This window comes from Homo sapiens, chromosome 18 (genome assembly GCF_000001405.40).
Source record: "Homo sapiens chromosome 18, GRCh38.p14 Primary Assembly".
Classification (NCBI taxonomy): Eukaryota; Metazoa; Chordata; class Mammalia; order Primates; family Hominidae; genus Homo; species Homo sapiens.
The window spans coordinates 9,166,701-9,194,030 of record NC_000018.10 but is presented as its reverse complement, the minus strand read 5'-3'; the positions used below and the strand labels follow the sequence as shown (position 1 = coordinate 9,194,030).

The following is a 27,330-nucleotide window of genomic DNA, read 5'->3' as shown; positions in this document are numbered from 1 at the left end:
GAAATGGATTTATAATTCATTTTAGAAAAAGAATGACATACCAAACAAAAATACTAAGTACTCGCCCAATCAGGTGAAGTGACCTATAGGTATTATAAAGTTCACTCCTATAATCAAAACATCCAAATTGATACAGCACATCTAAAACTGGGGTATGACAACTCCTTTGTGAGAAATGTGCTTCATACTGAGAACTAAGCCACACTGCCTTAGCAGGAGATCTTAAAAGAACATTCCCCAAGCTATGATAATAAGTGATAATTTATCATGATTGTAGAAACTCTCAAAAGCAAATGAAAAGTAGATTCAGACTATAAAAGATACCAGTTTTCAACCCAAGATGAAAAATAAAGGAGGGATGAGGAGGAAAAAGGGGCATAACAAATTAATGTCATTTTTTTTAAAGTAGCAATAAAACCAAAAGATGACTCTAAAAGAGCAAATAAATTAACAAACCTTTGGTGAACTTAATAATGAAAAACAGAGAAAAGATAAAAACAACCAAACAAACAAAAAAAAACCACTGAGATTGAGCCTGAATACAACTAGAGAGGGAATATTAAAAAGTTATGAAAGAATGCTGTTGGCTGGGCATGGTGGCTCATGCCTGTAATCCTAGCACTTTGGGAGGCAGAGGTGGGTGGATCACTTAAGCCTAGGAGTTTGAGACCAGCCTGGGCCACACAGGGGGACCCTGACCTTGTTTCTGTAAAAAAATTTAAAAATTAGCCAGGCATGGTGGCATGCGCCTGTGTTCCTAGCTACTTGGGAGGCTGAGGCAGGAGGACTGCTTGAGCTGGGAGGATTGAGGCTATAGTGAGCCATGTTCTTCGCCACTGTGCTCCAGGCTGGACAACAGAGTGAGATCCTGTATCCAAAAAAAAAAAAAAAAAAATGCTGTACTCAATTTTATACTATTAAAAAACTTACAGCCTGTAAAAATGGGTAATTTCCTTGGAATATATGGATTACTAAAAACTAGCTCATGACAGGATGACAGGAAGGGAAAACCAGAACAGACCAATTACCACAGAAAACAGTAAATCAGGCTGGGTGCAGTGGCTAAAATCTGTAATCCCAATGCTCTGGGAGGCTGAGGCGGATGGATCACTTGAGGACAGGAGTTTGAAACCATCCTGGGCAACGTGGTGAGACCTCATCGCCATAAAAAATTTTTAAAAACTAGCTGGGCGCAATGGCACACACCTGTAGTCCCAGCTACTCGGGAGGCTGAGGCAGAAGGCTGCAGTGACCTATAATCATGCCACTGCATTCCAGGCTGGGTGACAGAGCAGAGCAAGACCCTGTCTCTAAAAAAAAAGGAGGAAAAAAAAAGATAAATCCATAGTGAAATGTATGTTTAAAAAGGCACCTACTCCACAAGATTTTACAATAGAGTTTTAACCAAAAAAACAAAAATTCAAGAAGCAGGTATTTCCCATGTCTTATAAATACCAGAGCACAGAAAGATTAGAAGTTACCCAATTCATTTTAGAAGTCTAAAATGAAATTGATACCAAAAAACAGCACAAGATACAAAATTATAGACAAAAATCCACTTATGAACTTAAATGCAAAAGTCCTAAACAGACTATCAAGCCAAATTCAATTCTTAGAATATATTATAATCAAGCAGGGCTCATCTAGAGAATGCAAGGACAGTTCACTGATAGAAAACCTCTTAATTCATTGTATCAAAAGATTAAAGAAAACCCTATGATGGCAAGAACAAAGTGACAAGAATAACATCTACATTCATTCTTGATCAATTTCCAAGCTTTCAACTAACATCCTCGAGCTATTTTTTCACTTCTGCCAATGGAGCTTCAAAAACAAGGTGTTTTGCTTATAAGGTTACTTAAAATGTAGGTTTTATTATATGGTGAGACCAACAAATCAGGATATTACTGCTATGGAAAAGATTGTTACTCACAGTTCCAAGGGGTGGGGAGCATGCCATGCCACATCATGCCACTCCAGACCACACAGGGAAGTACCAGGGTGGTTGGTCAAGAGGTAAAAGAAGAAAGGTGAAATGTGAGCAAGAGCCTTTACTGTAGTTTCTACAGGAAAAAAAGTGTGAAGCAGGGTAAGCAGGCTTGGGATTGGCTACCTTGAATAATTTCAGTGGGTTCTGGGGTATGGGAGCTGTTTCTCTAATTGGTGCCTGGTTCTGGGGTGATTAGGACAGATGGCCAGTGGCCCAGAGTGTGAGAGCCCAACAAAGTTGGGGGTTTGGATGTGGGGTCTAGATAGGTCGGTCTGAGAGTGAAAGATTTGCTCACAGTGAGTTTATTATCTCTAGGAACTGGCTAGCCCTGGAAGATACAGTCTCTCAATGCTCAGCAAGGCCTCAGAAGTCAAAGCAACAGAAATACAGAAAACAAAAAGGCACAGCTAATACACAGGTTAACCAACAAAACTCCAGTAACTTGCCTCAGAAAATGAATCATTGTTACGAATAAAAGATTTAAGAATCATTTAAAAATCCCTTCTCCCTTGCAGCTACATAAGATACAGGTCTGTGCCACAAAATGAGTTAAAAAAAAAACCTATGTGATATTAAGTTGAAAGAAAACAGCAAAAGAGTATATGGAATATGTTCTCCTGTGCAATACGGTGATGTGTAACTATCATAACTGCTAACTACTTGTTATGTCATCTATAAAACTGTCCTTCAAGGCGTATTTGAACAAAGGGTTTCTTTTCTTTCAAAAGAAATGTTTTTGATAGACTTGAAATTTCTGTATTACCAAAGAGTAGAAATACTCTATCAAATTCACGAGAGGCTCATTAGCACATCCTAGGCCCATAACTCTGTTAGGTTTATTATCTTAAAATATTTCTAGAGTCTTTTTCATTTAACATTATTTTCCCAATAACTGGCAACAGCCATCACACGTAATAATGAAAGCATCAATGGTAAGAATGATCTTCTATTAATTCTGCTATTAAACAATGTATTGATAGCCTTTGTCATCTCAGTAAGATAGAAAAAATGGTAAAAGAAGTATCCAGAAAACAAGAATATATATACACACGTGCAAATATATAAACAGAAAACTCGGGAACAATATCAAGGCATACCTTGGAGATATGGCAGATTCAGTTCCAGACCACCACGATAAAGCAATTATAATGACAAAACAAGTCACACAAATTTTTTGGTTTCCCAGTACAAAAATCATGTTTACACTATGATGTAGTCTAGTAAGTGTGCAATACTATCATGTCTAAAATACATATATACCTACTTTAATTTTAAAGTACTAAATATACTAAAATATGCTAAAGATTGCATGGGCCATCGGTGAGTTGTAATCTCTTTGCTGGTGGAGGGTCTTGCCTTAGGTTGATGGCTGTTTGCTGATCAGGACAATTTTTGATGGTTGGGGTGGCTATTACAATTTCTTAAGACAACAATGAAGTTTGCCATGTGAATTGACTTTCTCTCACAAGAGATCTCTCTGGAGCATGCAATGCTGTTGATAGCACTTACCCACAGAACTTCTTTTCAAATTGGAGTCAATCTTATTTAACTCTGCTGCTGTTTTATCAACGAAGTTTATGTAATATACTAAATTATTTGCTGTCATTTCAACAATGTTTCTAGCATCTTCACCAAGAGTAGATTCCATCTCAAGAAATACTTTATTTGCTCATCCATAAGAAAGATGAGCTATTTTTCTCTTCTGCCAATGAAATGGAGCTTCAAACCAAGTGTTTTGCTTATAAGGTTGTTTTAAAAGTAGGTTTCAAGTTTGATCATGAGATTTCAGCAATTCAGTCACATCTTCAGGCTCCACTTGATTCTCATTCTCTTGCGTTTTCCAATCCCATCTACAGTTAGTTCCTCCACTAAAGTCTTGACCCTCTCAGTCATCCATGAGTGTTAGAATCAACTTTTCCAAACTCTGGTTAATATTGGTATTTTGACTTCCTCTCATGAATCACAAATGTTTTTAATGGCATCTAAAATGGTGAATCCTTTCAAGATGGTTTTCAATTTTTTTGCCCAAATCCATCAGAGGAATCACTCTCTATGGCAGCTACAGCCTTACAAAGCATACTTCTTTAATAAGACTTGTTTAAAAAGTTAAAATTATTCCTTGACCTATGGGCTGCAGAATGGACTGCATGTCAGCAGCCATGAAAACAACATTATTCTCTTTGTATGTCTCTGTCAGAGCTCTTGGGTGACAGCTCACTGACATGTTGTCAATGAGCAGTAATATTTTGAAAATAATCCTTTTTTCTTAGTAAGTCTCAACAGTAGGCTTAATCTATTCAGGAAACCATGCTGTGAACAGATGTGCTGTCATTAGGCACTGTTTTTCCATTGATAAGGTACAGGCAGAGTAAATTTCACGTAATTCTTATGGGTCTTGGCGTTTTTGCAATGGAAAAAGAGCACTGGCTTTAACTTAATAGTTGTCAGCTGCATTTGTCCCTAACAAGACAGTGAGCCTGTCCTCTGAAGCTTTGAAGCCAGGGATTGACTTCTCCTCTCTAGCTTTCAAAGTCCTACATGGTATCTTTTTCCAATAGAAGGCTATTTCATCTATACTGAAATCTGTAGTTTAGTGTAGCCATCTTCATCAAAGATCATAGCTAGATCTTCTGGATAACTTGCTGTAGCTTCCACATTAGCACTTGGTGCTTCACCTTGCACTTTTATGTTATGGAGACAGCTTCTTTCCTTAAACCTCATGAACCAACTTATGCTAGCTTCAGACTTTTCTTCTGCAGCTTCCAAACCTCTCTCAGCCTTCACAGAATTGAGGAGAGGGCCTTGATCTGGATTGAACTTTGGTTTAAGGGGATGTTGTAGCTGGTTTGATCTTCTATCCAGACCACTCCAAACTTCCTCCATATCAGCAATAAGACTGTTTTGCTTTCTTATGGTGTGTTCACTTTAACAGCACTTTTAGTGTTCTTCAAGAACTTTTCCTTGGCATTCCTCTCTTGGTTAACTGGCACAAGAGGCCTAGCTTTTGACCTCTCTCAGCCTTTGACATACCTTCCTCACTAAGCTTAATCATTTAGAGCTTTTGACTTAAAATGAGAGACATTCCACTCTTCACTTGAATACTTAGAGACCACTGAAACACAACAATTTCAAAATTGTTGTTTTAGGAAATAGGAAGGCCCAAGGAGGGGCGGAGTTGGGAGAGAAGCCAGTAAGTGGAGCAGTAGAACACATACAACATTAAGCTTGCCATCTTTTCTGCATACAGTGTGGTGCCCACAAAACAACTACAACAGTAACAAAGATCACTAATCATCATCATGATAATGAAAAAGTTGGAAATATGAAAATTATCAAGATGTGACATAGAGACAAGTGAGTACATGCTGTTGGAAAAATGTTGCCAATGAACTTGCTCAACACAGGGTTGCCACTAACCTTCAATTTGTAAAAAGCACAATTATCTGCAAAGCACAATAAAGTGAAGTGCAATAAAATGAGGTATGCCTGTAAACCAAAATGTTAATAGCTATCTGTAGGTGGTGCCATTACAGCTGTGTTGGGACATAATTCTCCATGTCTCTCTTGCATTTTTGCACATGTTGCGAGCAGACACACTAATTTCCTTTGTCCTGGACTATCTTTTCATGGGTATTTGTATGATAAACAGCCTCGAAAGACAGAGGTAGTGTCTCCCTCTAAAGCTAAGGACATACCTGTTTGCTGTCCAGTGTAATAATGTCTCCTTCTAGGGAAAAGTTCAGGCAGACTTACTGCCCATCATAAAAGATTTGGGGTTCCTACCCTGTAATACAACCCACTGCATATGCAGTTGTCATCTGCCCATCACTGCATCCCCCTTGTGAGAAGCGAGGCTCAGGGAACAGGCACAAACAATGATACTCTGGCTACTGCTATTGCTGAATAGCAAATATTCCTTCATCACTGACCTAGGAATTGTGTCTTCTGCCAGCATCCATGAAGCTAATTAGCTTACAAGTAGGGTAAAATCTCAGAACCTTCACAGTTGTTGACAAGGTAATAGGTAATTTCTATTTTCATTATTCTTATATGTATTTTCTAATTTTTTACAACAAACATGTATTATAATACTTGGATAATAAAAGAAAAAATTCTCAATAGTCACTTGGAGAGGAAATAATGAATGTCTGAACTACACTGATGACGAAAAGGATATAACAGAACTATTCAGATGGTTAAAATAATTAATATCCCCTCTCTCACATTTTATGAATTTAACCAGGTTTTAGACTATCTTAACAGAGTTTATAAAAGATTCTGCTTTGCAAATTTTAAATACTGATTTATAGCTAAAAGAGTAGTGGAGACATTTCTAAACTAAACTAGAATCAATGGGGGGAAAAGACCACAGATGAGCAGTGAAAGGTGTGAACATTCTTGTCAAAATCCTAACTATTTTAATATTTAATGAGAGGACTTTACATAAAAATTAAATTGCTATAAAATACAATTACTTAAGTTATGCTCTACTTAAATGAATTTAAGGAGTGAAATTTTGGTTTAGGTTATTTTATTAATTTAGGACCTCATAACAGCAATATTCTGTCATATTAAACTGTAAATGGGGTCTCTACTTACGTAAGAGAACTGTTAAAAAAAAATTAAAAATGAATAGAGACAGCAGGGTCCTGCTCTCTTGCCAGGCTGGAACGCAGTGGCACAAGCATAGCTCACTGTAGCTTAAAGCAATCCTTCTACTTCAGCCTCCCCAGTAGCTAGGAATACAGCTGTGTATCAACACATCCAGCTAATTTTTTTTTTTTGGTAGAGACGGGGGTCTTGCCCAGGCTGGTCTTGAACTCCTGGCCTCAAGCAATTCTCCTGCCTTGGTCTCCCCAAAGCACACATTATAGGCATGAGCCACCATGCCCAGCCTCATTTCTAAAAATGTTATGGGGAAAAACAACTTAGCAGAACCCAGAAGTTGACTTCAATGCCACTCACTATGAAAAGACAATCGGCCAGGCGCAGTGGCTCACGCCTGTAATCCCAGCACTTTGGGAGGCTGAGGTGGGCGGATCACGAGGTCAGGAGATTGAGACCATTCGAGACCATCCTGGCTAACACGGTGAAACCCCGTCTCTACTAAAAATACAAAAAATTAGCCAGGTGCGGTGGCGGGCACCTGTAGTCCCAGCTACTCGGGAGGCTGAGGCAGGAGAATGGCGTGAACCCAGGAGGTGGAGCTTGCAGTGAGCTGAGATCGCGCCACTCCACTCCGGCCCGGGGAAAAAGAGCGAGACTCCGTCAAAAAAAAAAAAAAAAAAAAGACAATCAAAGAAATACACATTGCAAATATACACATGAATGATGGTCATGCCTTCTACCCCCTACCCCAACTTCTTCACTTTGTCTTAAAAAGGAGCAGCAACATGGTCTATACCTAGCATCTTTGGAATAAAAACTACAGCCCTTCCTCTCAAGGTAAAATAAGGGGTTAAATATTCACTGAAAGACTGAGGAAAATACTTCTAACAACAGCTTTTGACATCAAACTGCTCTGAAATCCCAAAGCATGGCAATTTAAGTACAGCGCATGTTGCCTTAGATGAGCTTCTGATCCTTACCCAAACTACTGATCTTGAAAAACATACAGTTAAACAGAGACTGAGAATAAATACATCCCTTTATGTAAGCCAAAAATTTGTTAACTAGAGGAATGTAATAGTTTGTATTCATTCTTGCCATTTATTTTATAAATCCAATGATTAACAAGTATTCTTAACTTACCTAGGGAATGTTTTAAACAGAAATATGTTAGTGAAGTATTTGGTTTTTGCTATTGTTGCTACACTTTTAAGAAATCACACTTTTTCGCGCCACTGCACTCCAGCCTGGGCGACAGAGCGAGACTCCGTCTCAAAAAAAAAAAAAAAAAAAAATCACACTTTTAGGAGGGCAATATTCAGGCACTACTTATTTCGTGACAACTTTCAAAAGATACATGAAAAGTACATAGGAACAATTAAAGCTTCATTCAGTTTAGCCTCATAAATTCAAATCCAAAAAGTGGCATCAAGCAGCCCAGATGAATTTCCACAAATATAATCTTCACTATACTTAAACATGCAGAAATAAAAGTTATAATGCTTTCTTCAAATCTAACATTGCATTCTGTCCCCACATCTCCACGCAAACTACTTTCATCAAGGTCATTTAAAATGTTTCAATGGCCTCATCTTTCCTCTTAACCTCTGTTGCATTTGGCAGTGCAGACTCTCTCTTCCCTTTAGCCATTCTCTGTGGAACCTCCCTTGGTTCTCTCTCTGTCCTCCTCTTTCCTTGTCTCTTTACTCCTCCTAAAATATTTGAATTCCTCAGGGTCTATCCTCCTCCATTCTTGTGCCACTTTATACACTCTTTGTACACTCTTCTCCATACTTTCTACATATCCTCATATATTTATTTCCAATCCAGACTTGTTTTGAGTTCTTACACTCATATGCAACTGCCTACTAAACATTTCTACTTGAATGTTCCCAGGGCCAACTCAGTTCAGCAAGTACAAAGCAAACTTATTCAAAACAACCTGTTCTTTCTCTTGAATTTCCTTTCAGGAAATGGCCCAATCATTAACCTAGTAATGGAAACAAACCTCAGAATGGACCCAGACTATTTTTTCTTCACACACAAGTTTAATTCATTCAACAGCTTTTCGATCTGCCAACTTCTCTTCATCCCAAAAGCCACTGCCCACACTGCCTCCTACTTATATTTTATCAAATAGCATTCTGACTGGTTCTTTCTATGACCCTTCCCTCCTGACTCACTGACTACAGAATAAGTTCCAAGATCCTTTGCAAGGCACACAAGGCTATAATGAACTGCTCCTTGTCTAGTGCTAGACTCACCTCCTATCCTCCATCCTTCATAGGCTACATCCCAACTGAAGTTTGTTTTTCATTTGCTGTTTCTTTCGCTTATACTACCCTTTACTTTCACTTTCCTTCTGGTCAAATACGGATTCATCCTTGAGAACCCAGATTAAGTACCTAATTCTACTATTAGGCTATCGCTGAACCTGTTAAGTAGCATTCTCTCCTTTTTTCCTCCCATCACTCAGTAGTTTCATTAATGAGCTTATTACACTGGTATAGCAGTTCTCAAATTATAGTCCGTGAGATCAACTGAGGAGATCTGCAACGTCAGTATCTTCATAATAACATTTAAGATGTTATTTTTATCTTTCTCATTCTCTCAAGAGTATATATTGGGGTGAAACTTCTAAAATTGATTGTGGTTGTGACCATACAACTCTGTAAATATAAAAACAACTGAATTGTATACTTTAAATGTATGGCATGCGAATTATATCTCAATAAAGCTACTTATTAAAAATGGCAACATCGGCCAGGGTGTGGTGGCTCACACTTGTAATCCCAGCACTTTGGGAGGCTGAGGCAGGTGGCTCACTTGAGGCCAGGAGTTTCAGACTAGACTGGGCGACATGATGAAACCCTATCTCTGGGCATAGTGGTGTGCACCTGCGGTCTCAGCTACTCAGGAGGCTGAGGTGGAAGGATTGCTTGAGCCTGGGAGGTCAAGGCTGCAGTGAGCTGAGATCACACCACTGCACTCTCCAGCCTGGGTAAGAGAGCAAAATTCTGTCTCAAAAAGGAAAAAAAAATGGCCATATCAAGATATTCCTACCTAGATCAAAAAAAGACTGACAGAAACCATGGCTGAAGACTTGCCTTATAGTAAGTACTAAGGAAAATTCTTACACCAGATAGTAACTTAAATCCATAGGAAGAAATTAAGAACACCAAAATCAGTAAATTTGTAGGGAAATCTGAAACTACATAAACATTGATTTCTCTTATTTCTTTAAAAGATAACATTTTGTATCAAACAATTATAACATTCTTTTGTTGGGTTAATCACATATCTAGATGTAATCGATGTTATATAAATAACACAAAGGAAGAAAATGGAGCTATATTGAAGCAAAGCTGCTATATTTTACTGGAATTGTGTCAATATCAACCTGTAAGTAGACTGTGATCAATTAGGATGTGTATTACAATCTCCAGGATCAACATCTAAGATAATACATCAAAAAACAGTTTAAAAAAATTAGAGAAATTAAAATTGTACACTGAAAAATATTTAAAACCAAAAATGGCAACATAAAAGAGGTAACAAAAAAGACATGAAATATACAATAAAGAGCAAAACTGCACATATAAATTATCATCAGATATAAGTCATAGCAATAATTACATTAAATGTAAGTGGACTAAGTACTGTAATCAAGAAGAGTTTGCCAGTGTAATCGGGGAAAAAAGGGGGGCGAGAAGTAAAGGTAATCAAACAAAAAAAGAAATATCCGGACTGGAAAAGAAGTAAAATTATCTTTATTCACAGATAATATGATTCCATATGTAGAAAGTCCTAAGGAATTACAAATTGTTAGAACTAATAATTGAGTAAGATCACAGGATACAAAGATAACTACATCAAAAATCAATTATATTTCTGTACTAGCAATAAAGAGCCCAAAATAAAATTATCCATAGTAGCACTGAGAGAATAAGATACTTACAAATAATTTAACAATAGAATGCAACACTTTTACACTGAAAACTACAAAGCACTACTGAGACAAATTGAAGATCTAAGTAAATGAAGAGCTATTCCATGTTCATGGATTGGAAGACAATATTAAGATGGCAATACAACTCAAAGTGATCTACACATTCAATGAAAAAATTCAATAAAATTCCCTCAAAATCCTAGCAGGTACTTTTGTAGAAACTGACAAGCTGATCCTAAAATTTATATGAAATCATGAAGGACTCAAAACGATTCTGAAAAGAATACAGTTTGAAAACTTACACTTCCTGATTTTGAAAGCAGATATGGGGTTGCCTGGAGGGTTTAGGGTTGCAGTGGAGACTGACTACAAATGGGCAACAAAGACCTTTCCACAATGATGGCAATGTTCTAAAACCTTATTGTGATGATGGTTGCGCAACTCCGTTAGTTAAAAATGTCTGGAAACACCTCAGACATCTTTCCGTAAGAAAATGGCTTTTAAAAAGACTTTAAAAAGTAAACAGAAAAAAAATTCAAAGACAATGTATAAAACCAGAGATAAGGAGAGACTAGGGATAGCAAGACCAGTTAGGAGACAATTGCAGGAGTCCAAACGAAGGTTCTGAGGGTCTAAATTAAGTAGGAATGAAAAAGGATAGATATAAAAAGACAGAATTACAGGTCATTGACAATGACTAATAATAAAAATTTTTCCCTCTCTCAATATTTCTTAATTGCACAATCTTAGTAATTGTGTTTTACTTAGTAGTTGTGTGTTCACCTTAAGGAATGATAAACAATCACTTCCCCAGGAATCCAATTTATTTCTAAAGGGCATAAATGGTTTGGATTTATCTGGCATCCATATTGGTTTTTATCTTACGAGAAATCACTAAAAATACTTAATTGGGAGTCTTTTTCCCAGTTCAAAAAGTCAACAAATCTTTAGTATAATCATATACCTTTCTTCCATATGGTTTCTCTACCATATTGCTGTCACTGTCAGAATTTTCACTCTGAATTGGTTTTGTGAACCCAGATTTGGGCATTTTACAGCTGTTCAGCTAGCTTCTTCTTTTATCAGTCTTCTCATCCTGGATCTGTAAAGAATAGATATATAAGGGTTATTTGAATATATATACAATAGGTTACGCACCACAATTAGTCCAATTTGTTTTCTCTCTGTTTTCATAAGATACCTTATTTTCTCAAAGAGGCTATCCTAAGCTAAAGTAAGTTTTCACCTTATTTTAGCTTCTGGTTCTCTAAAAGAAAAGAGAATTACTTTAATAAATTTCTTCCTGTATTCTCGAGACAAGTAACATCTCCAGTTTTGGGTATCCAGAAGCAGTGAAAGTGGAAGCAGTGACAAAACGTTTCTCTTTTCAGTAGGAATCCATAATGGGAGCTCCTAATCGATGCCCTTGTAGTTTTGTGTTGGTTTGGAAGTCATTTCTGAAGACCCAACCAAGAACCTGTTAGGTTTGATCAGTAATTTTACAACACCTAATTCCCTACATTAAATCCTTCCCATTTAAAATCCCTAGAGTAGTTTATTTTCTTTACTGAACATCCTCAGCCATTTAGTCACTTTATCAAACTACTCACTGATATACTTCTATTGTACTGTAATCACCACTGTATACATTATTTTATTTCCAATTTGTTCAGCCTTCTCTTTCCTATTCTACAAGCATAATAGGTCAAACATTCTCCTAAGAGCTTATGATTATGACAAGTTTATGCCTGAACGATCCAGAAAAAATTCCAAGGGGTTTTACATGTTAAAGAGGAACCTATGAGGCTACACCTATGTTGCTGTCAGATAATCTATTACCTACATGTGGCAATTTAAAATTAATTAAAATGAAATTAAACTAGCCACTGTACTATACAGCACAGATACACATTTAAGTAATAACAGAAAGGTCTACTGCACAGCACTGGGCTAGATTGAGGCTGCTGGCCAAGGGGAGTATTACTTGGGCTACAACAAGAAGCAGAATGACCGACAAGATTACTTTGAACTCTTTCATGCTATAAATCTCCTACAGATGGATATCATAGATCTAAGTTAGCTGTCATTCTAGTATCTATGTAAATTATTAAAACTCAGACACCTTGAACAGAGTATTAGTAAAATCTGCTGTCCCGTTGGTGCTTTAAAATTTCTTTTGTTTTGATAGAAACGAAACCAAAAATCCCTTAAATAAACTGAGCTAATTTGTAAATTATCAAAACCATATTAATCTGGAAATAATTAAATCAGAATACATTACAACACAAAAAACTACCAAAGAAAAATGGTTCAAATCTTTCATTTTATAGAGGAGGAAACAAATTTGAAGAAATTAAGAAACTTTTTTGACATTACACTCAAGAAGCAGAACTTACCTTGGGGCCATTCAACCATTTCATTAACGTATAAACAATAATTTAAACATAGCACTGTCCTCAAAGCTAGCCACTGGTAAAGCTTATGGAGTTAAAGTTATGAGCCACATAAAAACAAAAAGACTGGCTCAAAAGCAAAACTGAGCTATACAATACATATAAACATCAGCCTAAGTGAGACTATGAAGATAAAACAATGTCTCCTTTGTAGATGAAGCAAAGCAAGTTGTTAGTGAACTAAAGGAGTGTCAAATATTTTTTGAGAAAATTCTACAGGGCAATATTATATTAAATAGATTCTATGTAAGGAAAAGCTTACACCATTTTTCAATAACTATTTAGAAAAATGCCAGCAGTAACAATAAAAATCACAATTGGATTCCAAAAATATTCCTTCAATCAACTAATATTAAGCATTTAATACTGAGTTAGCTTCTGGGTGCAAGATGTATACTGTAATCCCTAAAGCAATCACTATATAATAACTATACAAAAAGTAACACAAATCACACTAGGTAAATTAAAATGGAATATTAAAAAATGTACAAATAATCCAATGAAAGGCAGGAAAAGAAAAATTGAACAATGAAAAACAGAAAGAACAAAATTATAAAATGATATAGACCTAAGCCCAAATATTAATAATAATATAAAACACAAATGGCTTAAACACACCAAAAGACAGAGAATGCCAGAAAGTGGGAAAAAAACCAACAAGAAGTTTGCTTCAAATATAATAATAGGTAGGTTAAAATAAAAGAATGGAAAAAGAACCCATGGAAGTACTTGAGTTTCCAAGTGCTTAGAAAGAAAGCAAGCTTGAGTGGCTATATTAACAACATCGACAAAACAGACTTCAGAACGAAGAGGGACATTATATACTACATATTGATAAAGGGGTCAATACACTAAGACAACACACCAATCTGACATATGTATGCAACCAACAACAGAGCTTCAAAATACATGAAACAAAAACGGCCAACTGATAGACAAAATAGATAAATTCATAACTACAGCTGGAGGCTTCAACTATTATACTTTTTATTGACATAACATCAGCAAGGATTATATAAGAACAGAAAAACGCCGTTAATCAGTTGGTTCTAATTGATGTTTACAGAAATATCTGCTCAACAACAGAATACTCTTTCAAGAGCACACAGAATACTCCCCAAGATAGGCCACATTCTGTGTCATAAAACAAACTTTAACAAATTTAATTAAAACCATACAAAGTTTGCTCGTAGACAATAAAGAAATTAAACCAGGCCAAGTATGGGAGCTCACACCTGTAATCCCAGCACTTTGGGAGGCCAAGGTGGGCAGACAGCTTGAGCCTAAAAGTTCAAGACCAGCCTGAGGACAACATGGCGAAACACCACTTCTACTAAAAATACAAAAATTAGCTGGGCATGGTGGTCCGTGCAGGTGGTCCCAGCTACTCAGGAGGCTGAGGTGGGAGGATTGCTTGAGCCCAGGAGGTCGAGGCTGCAGTGAGCCATGATCACGCCACTGCACTCCAGTCTGGGTGACAGAATGAGGCCCTGCCCCTGCCCCCCTCAAAAAAATCAAACTATGTAATTTAGTGTATTAATTCAAACCATAAAAATATATGACCATCTCAACAGGTAAGATAAAATGTGTTAGCTAACATTCAATACCCATTAATAATAAACAACTCTCAGCAAACCAGAATTAGAAGGGAACGTGAATGCTTTCTCTTCTAAGATCAACAATGAGGCGTGGATGTTGGGTTCTCTTTTACCATTCCTATTCAACACTGTACTACTTACTGGTGGTCCTACGTAAGTTCAATAAGGCAAGAAAAAAAAGGCATACAACTTGGAAAGTGGTAAAACAGGCCTTATTTCCAGATACCATGATAATCTATGTAGACAAGCAAAGATATCTACAAAGAAGCTATTAGAACTAATACATGTGTATAGGAAGGACATAGAATACATGGTCAATATATAAAAATTATTTCTACATATTAGCAATAAGCAATTAGAAATTAAAATTAAAAATACAACCTACAACAACATCAGAAGTACTAAATTCTTAGGGATAATATAACAAAATATGTGTAAGAATACATGGTGAATATGTGAAAAAATTTTTCTACATACTAGCAATAAGCAATCAGAAATTAAAATTTAAAATATAACCTATGATAGCATCAAAACCACTAAATTCTCAGGGATAAATATAACAAAAGTATATAAGACTGTACAATGACAAATACAAAAACACTTTGGAAAGAAGTGAAAAAAGATCTAAATATATGGAAAGATATGCCATGCTCATGAATCAGAAGATGCAATGTCGTTAAAATGTCAGTCTCTCCAAATTGCTCTATAAATTCAAGGCAATCCTAGTCAAATTTCCAGGATCTATTTTTTTGTTTTTTATGGAAACTGACAAATTGTTTCTATAATGTATATGAAAATGTTAAGAACCTAGAAAAGTCCAAATAATGTTGGGAAAAAATTAATTGGTAGACTCACATTACCTGACTTCCATAGTTACTAACAAAGATACAGTAAGCAAGACAGTGTTTACTAATGTAAAGACAGACTTATAGATTAACGGAACAGAACGGAAAGTCCAGAAACAGATCTACACATATACATCCAATCCAACCGATTTTCAACAAATCTGTCAATGTAATTCACTGGGAAAAGGATATATTCCTTTCAATAAACGGTCTTGGAAAAACTGTATATCCAAATGCAAAAAACGAGAGAGAGAGAGAGAGAGAGAATCTTGATCCTTACCTCACTCCACAGAGAAAAATTAGCCTCAAAATGCATCATAAACCTAAATTTATGAGCTAAAACTACACCACTTCTAGCAGAAAACAAGAGTATTTTAGTGGCCTTGGATTAGACAAAGATTTCTTAAATAGGTAATGAAAAGCAGAAATTATGAAAGCAAAAAATGGATAAATTAGACTTCACAAAAACTTCTGCTCTTTAAATTACCCTGTTAAGGTGTTAAGAAAATGAAAAGCCAGCCATGCTGGCAGAAAATACTTGCAAATCACATCTTTATAAAGGACTTCTATCCAGATTATATAATTCTAAAGGACTTATATCCAGAACATATAAATAACTCTTATGAATCAATAAGATAAACAACCCAATTTAAAAGTGAGTAAAAGATTTTAACAGTTCAGCAAATAACATATAATGAATGGCAAATAAGCACAGGAAAAGATGCGCAACCTCATTAGTCACCAGGAAAATTAATAATGAGATGTTCTCACTCATATGTGAGAGCTAAAAAAAGTTGATCTCACGAAGGTAGAGAGAATGACAGATACCAGAGGCTAGGAAGGGTACGTGTGGAGGGTGGGGGATGAAGGGAGGTTGATTAAAGGGTAGAAACATAAATAGAAGAAATAAGTTCTAATGTTTGACAGCACAGTAGGGTGACTATAATTAACAACAATAGGTCATATATTTCAAAATAGCTAGTAGACAGCTATTTGGGAACATTCTGAAATGTTCCCAAAGCAGAATTGACAAATACTCAGTGATGAATATCCTAAATAATCTGACTCGATCATTACATGTTCTATGCACAGAACAAAACATCAGATGTATCCCCTAAATATGTACAAATATTATGGGTCAATTAAACGATTAATTTTAAAATAAAAAAATGAGATGTCACCCACCAGAATGGTTAAAATTAAAGACTAAGAAGACTAAATGTTGGTGAGAAACTGGAACTCTCATATGTGGCTGGAGGGAGAGAGGGGACGGGCAATGATGCATAGCGGTACGGCCACTTGCTGAATGAGAATACTTGGTGTTATCTTCATACGGCTAAGAAGAGTCCTTCACATTCCTCCATTCTCCGTGTAACAATCTTGGTGGCTATTACACTGCTTGCACTTCAATTTCCATGCCCTAAGGGCTGCACAGAGTATATTAATACTTGTTCAGGGCTACTTTCCTGTTTAAGCCAACCAGCTGCAAGCTCTACTGTAGACTTTGTTATCCAATGGCTAAATGATGCAGTTTATAGATTCTATTCTGCCTTCGAAGATGTTTCTTCCCTTAAAATTAGTATGTTCTTGCTCCTTACAGACCAAACAGTCTATGTATCGAACAGCAACTGACTTCCAGGATTAACATTCTCTAAATGTATGCTATAAGACAGTTTTCCACTCTAATTTACAGCAGTAAAATATATCTTCTTCTAAAACAAAATAACCCAGTATTCTCTTGGTGTCTTTTTTTTTAAATGGCATAACTACTTGGGATCACTCAAGGGATACTAAAAATATATTGTTTAACACCACTGCTATTTCTAAATAATTTTATTTATAATGAAGGCAAAACATTCTAGTTGCTATTCTGAGGTACCAAGATACGTACATCAAAAACTCTAGTGTAAACTAAACATCATTTGGGTAAAGAAGATGTACAGATGCCTTTTTTCTTTCTTTTTTTTTAAGTATAAGCACCTTAAGAACCGAGTTTGGGCTGGGCACAGAGGTTCACACTGGTAATCCCAGCACTTTGGGAGGCTGAGGCAGACAGACTGCTTGAGCTCAGGAGTTTAAGAGCAGTCTGGGCAACATGGTGAAACCCCGCCTCTACAAAAAATTAAAAAATTAGCTGGCCATGGTGGTATGTGCCTGTAGTCCCAGCTACTGGGGAGGCTGAGGTGGGAAGACTCCTTGAGCCTGGGAAGCAGAGGTTGCAGTAAGGTGAGGTCGCACACTGCACTCTGGCCTGGGCAACAGAGCTACTCCAACCTGAGTGACAGAGCCAGACCCAGTCTCAAAAAAAAAATAGAACAGTGTTTTGTCTGTTTTCCAACTCATTCAAAATTATAACCAAAACTAAAATTTTCTATCATTCAAAGATATTAGGCAAACAAAAATGTTCACCTATCTGTGACTCCTCACAGATAATCAATGTCATTATCTTAGCAATGTCACTAAACTAACGCTAAGTTATAGTAACAAGACCAGCAGAATCAAAAAACACAACTCAAGACAACAGCAATGATACACAGATAAACATCCTTCTTGAAAGCTGAGGTGACTGCAATACAACAAGTCTTGTCTGACAGACTTCTTAGTACAATAACTAAATTGACTGTTCAGGAAACAAAGAGTTTTTTTTGGTTCATAAATTGTCCTTTATCCTAAGGCTAACAATTTGGAGAAAATTTTATCTTAGCAGAGAGTACAAAATCACCTATAGGATGAGGCTGAACTTTGTCAAAAAGAGGTTTTGGCTGAATGTGGTGGCTCACACCTGTAATTCTAGCACTTTGGGAGGCCAAGGCAGGCAGACTGCCTGAGCTCAGGAGTTCAAGACCAGCCTGGGCAACATGGTGAAACCCCATCTCTACTAAAATACAAAAAATTAGCTGGGCATGGTGGCACCTGCCTATAATCCCAGCTACTCAAGAGGCTAAGGCTTGAGAACTGCTTGAACCAGCAAGGCAGAATTTGCAGTGAGCCGAGATAGTGCCACTGCACTCCAGCCTGCATGACAGAGACTGTCTCAAAAAAAAAAAAAAAAAAAAAAAAAAAAGAGGAGCCTTTGAAAAACTGATCAAGTGATCAAGAAGGAAAGAAGCCTTGGGACCATTTCTGTGGACGAAAAACTACTGAACACTGACAAAAGGAGGGAGAATCAGGGAGAAAATCCAATAACAGAGAAAGACAACTCAGACTATTTAGAAGATAGGGCTGAGAGAAAAAAACACCTCTAGTTGCCAATGTGGCCTAGAGGACTATGGGGAACAGAAATAATAGAATTTGCATATCTGAATGCTACAAACATGGAGACTGCACATGTATAATACAAGTGAATATCTACAGAAGTATTCCAACTACAGAAAGTCTATTTTGAGATCACTTTAGAGTCTGGCAGCATTTAGTGAGTTCCAGGCCCTCAGAATCAATGCTTTAAATGCTTTGGTCATACAAAAAATTAGGCAGGAGTGGTGACGCACGCCTGTATTCCCAGCTACTCTGGAGGCTTAGGCAGGAGAGTTGCTTGAATCTGGGTGGTGGAGGTTGCAGTGAGTCGAGATCACACCACTGCACTCCAGCCCGGGCAACAAAGCAAGACTCTGTCTCAGGAATGAACAAATTAAATAAATAAATAAATAAATAAATAAATGCTTTGGTCTGTTTGCTCTAGTCACTATCTTCCAACTTAAGTCTGACTTGAATATTCTTCATAGCAGTTTCACAAAGCACTGGGATTATTCCTCAGTTTCCACCTGTAAGACAAGAAGGGGGCAGGAGGGGCCAAGATAGCCGATTAGAAACAAGATGGCTCTCATAGAGAAGAATGACAACAGCAAGTGAATTCAGCACCTTCAAATGAAATGTCCAGGTTCTCACACTGGGACTGATTAGGAGGATGGCATGACCCACAGACAACAAAAAAAGCAGGGTGTGGCAATGGCCCACCCAGGAGCACTGGGGAGCCAAAGGAACCCCCACCCCCAGCCAAGGGAAGCAGTGAGTGATTGTGTAACCCCACTCAGGAAACCACACTTCTCCTACGGATCTTTGCAACCATGGATCAGGAGATCCCCTCATGAACCCAGGCCACCAGGGCCTTACTTAGGTCCAACATACAGAGCTGTGCGGAGTCTTGGCAGAGCAGTTGCTCAGGCTCACACGTAAACCCAGGAGTTTTACAGACTCCACCCTTGGGAATCCCAACAAGGTGAGAAATCCATCCGTATCCTCCCCTAGGAAGAGGGCTGAATCCTGGGAACCAAGCAGTGTCATTCTGCGGGCCTCACTTCCATGGCACCTCAACCCACTGGCTTTGAATTCTAGCCAGCCAGTGCAACAGGCTAGAGACTGCCTAAAATGGATGAGTTTTCAGGGGGAGGGGCGGCTGCCATTTCTGCAGTTCAGTTGACCCAGCTGTTCTAGCCTGCTCCCAAGAATCCAGGTGGTCCTGATGAGGAGGAGTCCCTCACAGGGCAGCACAGCTGCTGTGCCAGATCGTGGCCAGACTGCTCTTTTAAGTGGGACCCCAATCCATCCCTCCTCACTGGGTGGGGCCTCCCTGAGGGAATTTCAGCAACTCCAGCCAAGGTTATATGAACAGTACTCTGATCTCTCCCTGGGACAAGCCCCTAGGGGGAGGAGTGCCCAATGTCTCTGCGGTTCAGTTGACTAAGCCTTTCTTCTTCTTATTATTTTTTTATACTTTAAGTTTTAGGGTACACGAATGACTCAGCCTTTCTAAGCGGGCTGGCTCTGGAGAGTCCAGGCAGTCTGGGCAAGGAACGGTTACCCCCAATTCAGCACACCTGATCTACCAAAAAGCAACCAGACTGCATCTTTAAGCAGGTCCCTGATCCTGTCCCTCCTGATTGGGTGAGACCTCCTAACGGGGATCTCCAGACACCTTCTACAGCAGCATCCAGGCTGGCAACAGGTCAGTACTGCCCCCCCTACCCCCCCCCCACCACCCCACCGGGATGGAGCTCCCAAGGGAAGGAGCAGACTGCCATCTTAGCTGTTTCACAGCCTTCACTGGTGATATACCTACAGGTAAAGGAAAGACCAAGACAACTAGGGTCTGCAGCAATCCCCCAGCAAACTACAGCAGCCCTATGGAAAAGTGCACTGACTGTTAAAAGAAAAACAGAAAACAACAACAAGAGTATCAACAAAAAAGACACCACAAAAACCCCATTTAAAGGTCAGCAACTGGCCAGGCGTGGTGGCTCATGCCTGTAATCTCAGACTTTGGGAGGCCGAGGAGGGCGGATCACCTGAGATCAGAAGTTTGAGACCAGCCTGGCCAACATTGTGAAGCCCCATCTCTACTAAAAATACAAAAATTAGCCAGGCATGGTGGCAGGCGCCTGTAATCCCAGCTACTCTGGAGGCTGAGGCATGAGAATGGCTTGAACCCGGGAGGCGGAGGTTGCAGTGAGCCAAGATTGTGCCACTGCACTCCAGCCTGGGTGATAGAGCTAAACTCAGTCTCAAAAAAAAAAAAAAAAAAAATCAGCAACCTCAGCTGGGCAGAGTGGCTCACGCCTATAATCCCAGCACTTTAGGAGACTGAAATGGGCAGATCACGAGGTTGAGGTTGCAGTAAGCTGGGATTGTGCCACTGTACTCTAGCCTGGGCAACAGGGCGAGACTCTGTCTCAAAAAACAAAAACAAAAAAACAAAAAACAAAAAAAAAAGATCAGCAACCTCAAAAATCAAAGGTAGATAAGCCCACAAAGATGAGAAATAATGCAAAAAACGCTGAAAACTCAAAAAGCCAGAGTGCCTCTTCTCTAAATTACCACAACACCTCTTCAGCAAGGGGACAGAACTGGGCTGAGGCTGAGATGGCTGAACTGATAGAAGTAGGCTTCAGAAGGTGGGTGATAATGAACTTGGCTGAGCTAAAGGAGCATGTTGCAACCCAATGCAAAGAAGCTAAGAATCATGATAAAATGGAGGAGCTTCTAAGCAGTATAGCCAGTTTAGAGAGGAGCATAACTGACCTGATGGAGCTGAGAAACACAAGATGAGAAATTCACAATGCAACCACAAGTATCAATAGCAGAATAGACCAAGCAGAGAAAAGAATCTCAGGGCTTGAAAACTGTCTTTCTGAAATAAGATAGGCAAACAAGAATAGAGAAAAAAGAATGAAAAGGAATGATCAAAACCTCGAGAAATATGGGACTATGTAAAAAGACCAAACCTATGACTGATTGGGGTGCCTGAAAGACAGGAGAAGAATGGAATCAAATTAGAAAACATACTTCAGGATATCATCCAGGAGAACTTCTCCAACCTAGCAAGAAGGGCCAACATTCAAATTCAGGAAATCCAGAGAACCCCAGTAAGATGATCAATCCCAAGAAACATAATCATCAGATTCTCCAAGATCAAAATGAAAGAAAAAATGTTAAGGGCAGCCAGAGAGAAAGGCCAGGCCACCTACAAAGGGAAACACATCAGACTAACAGCAGACCTCTCAGTGGAAACCCTACTAGCCAAAAAAGATTGGGGACCAATATTCAACATTCGTTTTTTTTTTTTTTTGAGGTGGAGCTTCATTTCACTCTTCCTGCCCAGGATAGAGTACAATGGTGCGATCCCAGCTCATTGCAACCTCCACCTCCCGGGTTCAAGTGATTCTCCTGCCTCAGCCTCCCAAGTAGCCAGGATTACAGGTGTATGCCACCACACCCAGCCGATTTTTGTATTTTTAGTAGAGATGGGGTTTTGCCATGTTGGCTAGGCTGGTCTCGAACTCCTGACTTCAGGTATCTACCCACCTCAGCCTCCAAAAGTGATGGGATTACAGACGTGAGCCACCGCACCTGGCCTCAACATTCTTAAAGAATTTCCAACCCAGAATTTCATATCCAGCCAAACTAAGCTTAATAAGCAAAGGAGAAATAAGATTCTTTTCAAACAAGCAAATGCTGAGGGTATTCATCATTGTCTTGAAAGAGCTCCCAAAAGAAGCACTAAATATGGAAAGGAAAAACTTTCCTTTCCGCTGCCAGCCACTACAAAACACACTGAAGTACACAGACGAGTGACACTATAAAGCAACCACATAAACAAGTCTAACAAATAACCAGCTAGCATCATGATGACAGGATCAAATTCACACATAACAATATTCACCTTAAATGTAAATGAGCTAAATGCCCCAATTAAAAGACACAGAATGGCAAAATGTATAGAGTCAAGACCCATCAGTACGCTGTCTTCAAGAAATCCATTTCATGCTTGGAGGAGCCAAGATGGCCGAATAGGAACAGCTCCAGTCTACAGCTCCCAGCATCAGCGACGCAGAAGACGGGTGATTTCTGCATTTCCAACTGAGCTTTGAAGACAGTAGTGGTTCTCCCAGCACACAGCTTGAGATCTGACAACGGGCAGACTGCCTCCTCAAGTGGGTCCTTGACCCCCGAGTAGCCTAACTGGGAGGCACCCCCAGTAGGGGCGGACTGACACCTCACACGGCCGGGTACTCCTCTGAGACCAAACTTCCAGAGGAACAATCAGGCAGCAGCATTTGCGGTTCACCAACATCTGCGCTTCTGCAGCCACTGCTACTGAAACCCAGGCAAACAGGGTCTGGAGTGGACCTCTAGCAAACTCCAACAGACCTGCAGCTGAGGGTCCTGTCTGTTAGAAGGAAAACTAACAAACAGAAAGGACATCCACACCAAAAACCCATCTGTACGTCACCATCATCAAAGACCAAAGGTAGATAAAACCACAAAGATGGGAAAAAAACAGAGCAGAAAAACTGGAAACTCTAAAAATCAGAGCGCCTCTCCTCCTCCAAAGGAACGCAGCTCCTCACCAGCAATGGAACAAAGCTGGAGGGAGAATGACTTTGAAAAGTTGAGAGAAGGCTTCAGAAGATCAAACTACTCCGAGCTACAAGAGGAAATTCAAACCAATGGCAAAGAAGTTAAAAGCTTTGAAAAAAAAATTGACGAATGGATAACTAGAATAACCAATGCAGAGAAGTCCTTAAAGGACCTGATGGAGCTGAAAACCAAGGCACCAGAGCTACATGACGAATGCAGAAGTCTCAGCAGCCGATGCGATCAACTGGAAGAAAGGGTATAAGTGACGGAAGATCAAATGAATGAAATGAAGCAAGAAGTTTAGAGAAAAAAGAATAAAAAGAAACAAACAAAACCTCCAAGAAATATGGGACTTTGTGAAAAGACCAAATCTACATCTGACTGGTTTACCTGAAAGTGACGGGGAGAATGGAACCAAGTTGGAAAACACTCTGCAGGATATTATCCAGGAGAACTTCCCCAATCTAGCAAGGCAGGCCAACATTCAAATTCAGGAAATACAGAGAATGCCACAAAGATACTCCTCGAGAAGAGCAACTCCAAGACACATAATTGTCAGAATCACCAAAGTTGAAATGAAGGAAAAAATGTTAAGGGCAGCCAGAGAGAAAGGTGGGGTTACCCACAAAGGCAAGCCCATCAGACTAACAGCTGATCTCTCGGCAGAAACTCTACAAGCCGGAAGAGAGTGGGGACCAATATTCAACATTCTTAAAGAAAATAATTTTCAACCCAGAATTTCATATCCGGCCAAACTAAGCTTCATAAGTGAAGGAGAAATAAAATACTTTACAGACAAGCAAATGCTGAGAGATTTTGTCACTACCAGGCCTGCCCTAAAAGAGCTCCTGAAGGAAGCACTAAACATGGAAAGGAACAACTGGTACCAGCCACTGCAAAAACATGCCAAATTGTAAAGACCATCAATGCTAGGAAGAAACTGCATCAACTAACGAGCAAAATAACCAGCTAACATCATAATGACAGGATCAAATTCATACGTAACAATATTAACTTTAAATGTAAATGGGCCAAATGCTCCAATTAAAAGACACAGACTGGCAAATTGGATAAAGAGTCAAGACCTATCAGTGTGCTGTATTCAGGAAACCCATCTCACATGCAGAGAAACACATAGGCTCAAAATAAAGGGATGGAGGAAGATCTACCAAGCAAATGGAAAACAAAAAAAGGCAGGGGTTGCAATCCTAGTCTCGGATAAAACAGACTTGAAACCAACAAAGATCAAAAGAGACAAAGAAGGCCATTACAGAATGGTAAAGCGATCAATTCAACAAGAAGAGATAACTATCCTAAATATATATGCACCCAATACAGAAGAACCCAGATTCATAAAGCAAGTCCTTAGTGACCTACAAAGAGACTTAAACTCCCACACAATAATGGGAGACTTTAACACCCCACTTTCAACATTAGACAGATCAACGAGACAGAAAGTTAACAAGGATACCCAGGAACTGAACTCAGCTCTGCACCAAGTGGACCTCATAGACATCTACAGAACTCTCCACCCCAAATCAACAGCATATACATTCTTTTCAGCACCACACCTACTCCAAAATTGACCACATAGTTGGAAGTAAAGCACTCCTCAGCAAATGTAAAAGAACAGAAATTATAACAAACTGTCTCTCAGACCACAGTGCAATCAAACTAGAACTCAGGATTAAGAAACTCACTCAAAACCACTCAGCTACATGGAAACTGAACAACCTGCTCCTGAATGACTACTGGGTAAATAATGAAACGAAGGCAGAAATAACGATGTTCTTTGAAACCAACGAGAACAAAGACACAACATACCAGAATCTCTGGGACACATTCAAAGCAGTGTGTAGAGGGAAATCTATAGCACTAAATGCCCACAAGAGAAAGCAGGAAAGATCTAAAATTGACACCCTAACATCACAATTAAAAGAACTAGAGAAGCAAGAGCAAACACATTCAAAAGGTAGCAGAAGGCAAGAAATAACTAAGATCAGAGCAGAACTGAAGGAAATAGAGACACAAAAAACCCTTCAAAAAATTAATGAATCCAGGAGCTGGTTTTCTGAAAAGATCAACAAAATTGATAGACCACTAGCAAGACTAATAAAGAAGAAAAGAGAAAAGAATCAAATAGACGCAATAAAAAATGACAAAGGGGATACCACCACCGATCCCACAGAAATACAAACTACTATCAGAGAATACTATAAACACCACTATACAAATAAACTAGAAAATCAAGAAGAAATGGATGAATTCCTCGACACATACATCCTCCCAAGACTAAATCAGGAAGAAGTTGAATCTCTGAATAGACCAATAACAGGCTCTGAAATTGAGGCAATAATCAATAGCTTACCAATGAAAAAAAGTCCAGGACCAGATGGATTCACAGCCGAATTCTACCAGAGGTACAAGGAGGAGCTGATACCAATCCTTCTGAAATTATTCCAATCAATAGAAAAAGAGGGAATCCTCCCTAACTCATTTTATGAGGCCAGCATCATCCTGATACCAAAGCCTGGCAGAGACACAACAAAAAAAAGAGAATTTTAGACCAATATCTTTGATGAACACTGATGCAAAAATCCTCGATAAATTACTGGCAAACCGAATCCAGCAGCACATCAAGAAGCTTATCCACCATGATCAAGTGGGCTTCATCCCTGGGATGCAAGGCTGGTTCAACATATGCAAATCAATAAATGTAAGCCAGCATATAAACAGAACCAAAGACAAAAACCACATGATTATCTCAATAGAGGCAGAAAAGGCCTTTGACAAAATTCAACAACCCTTCATGCTAAAAACTCTCAATAAATTAGGTATTGATGGGACGTATCTCAAAACAATAAGAGCTATGTATGACAAACCCACAGCCAATATCATACTGAATGGGCAAAAACTGGAAGCATTCCCTTTGGAAACTGGCACAAGACAGAGATGCCCTCCCTCACCACTCCTATTCAACACAGTGTTGGAAGTTGTGGCCAGGACAATCAGGCAGGAGAAGGAAATAAAGGGTATTCAATTAGGAAAAGAGGAAGTCAAATTGTCCCTGTTTGCAGATGACATGATTGTGTATCTAGAAAACCCCATCGTCTCAGCCCAAAATCTCCTCAAGCTGATAAGCAACTTCAGCAAAGTCTCAGGATACAAAATCAATGTACAAAAATCACAAGCATTCTTAAACACCAATAACAAACAAACAGAGAGCCAAATCATGAGTGAACTCCCATTCACAATTGCTTCAAAGAGAATAAAATACCTAGGAATCCAACTTACAAGGGATGTGAAGGACTTCTTCAAGGAGAACTACAAACCACTGCTCAATGAAATAAAAGAGGATACAAACAAATGGAAGAACATTCCATGCTCATGGGTAGGAAGAATCAATATCATGACAACGGCCATACTGCCCAAGGTAATTTATAGATTCAATGCCATCCCCATCAAGCTACCAATGACTTTCTTCACAGAATTGGAAAAAACTACTTTAAAGTTCATATGGAACCAAAAAAGAGCCCGCATTGCCAAGTCAATCCTAAGCCTAAAGAACAAAGCTGGAGGTATCACACTGCCTGACTTCAAACTATACTACAAGGCTACAGTAACCAAAACAGCATGGTACTGGTACCAAAACAGAGATATAGACCAATGGAACAGAACAGAGCCCTCAGAAATAATGCCGCATATTTACAACTATCTGATCTTTGACAAACCTGAGAAAAACAAGCAATGGGGAAAGGATTCCCTATTTAATAAATGGTGCTGGGAAAACTGGCTAGCCATATGTAGGAAGCTGAAACTGGATCCCTTCCTTACACCTATACAAAAATTAATTCAAGATGGATTAAAGACTTACATGTTAGACCTAAAACCATAAAAACCCTAGAAGAAAAGCTAGGCAATACCATTCAGGACACAGGCATGGGCAAGGACTTCATGACTAAAACACCAAAAGCAATGGCAACAAAAGCCAAAATTGACAAATGGGATCTAATTAAACTAAAGAGCTTCTGCA

The 27,330-nt window shown here is 38.8% G+C and overlaps 1 protein-coding gene across 20 annotated transcripts in view; it reads right to left on the bottom strand.

Annotated features, from left to right (window-relative positions):
• ANKRD12 (ankyrin repeat domain 12) overlaps positions 1-27,330 on the bottom strand; it is a 149,205-nt gene that overhangs the window by 91,955 nt on the left and 29,920 nt on the right. For 18 of the 20 annotated variants that reach the window (XM_005258093.5, XM_017025661.3, XM_017025663.3 and 15 more), the window contains one exon: positions 11,512-11,649. In XM_005258093.5, the coding sequence (XP_005258150.1) occupies positions 11,512-11,598 (87 nt within the window). In that variant the 5' untranslated portion in view covers positions 11,599-11,649. Of the gene's footprint in view, positions 1-11,511; positions 11,650-16,628; positions 18,479-27,330 lie in introns of those variants that run through there. The other 2 variants (XM_047437385.1, XM_047437389.1) reach the window with 1 other exon arrangement.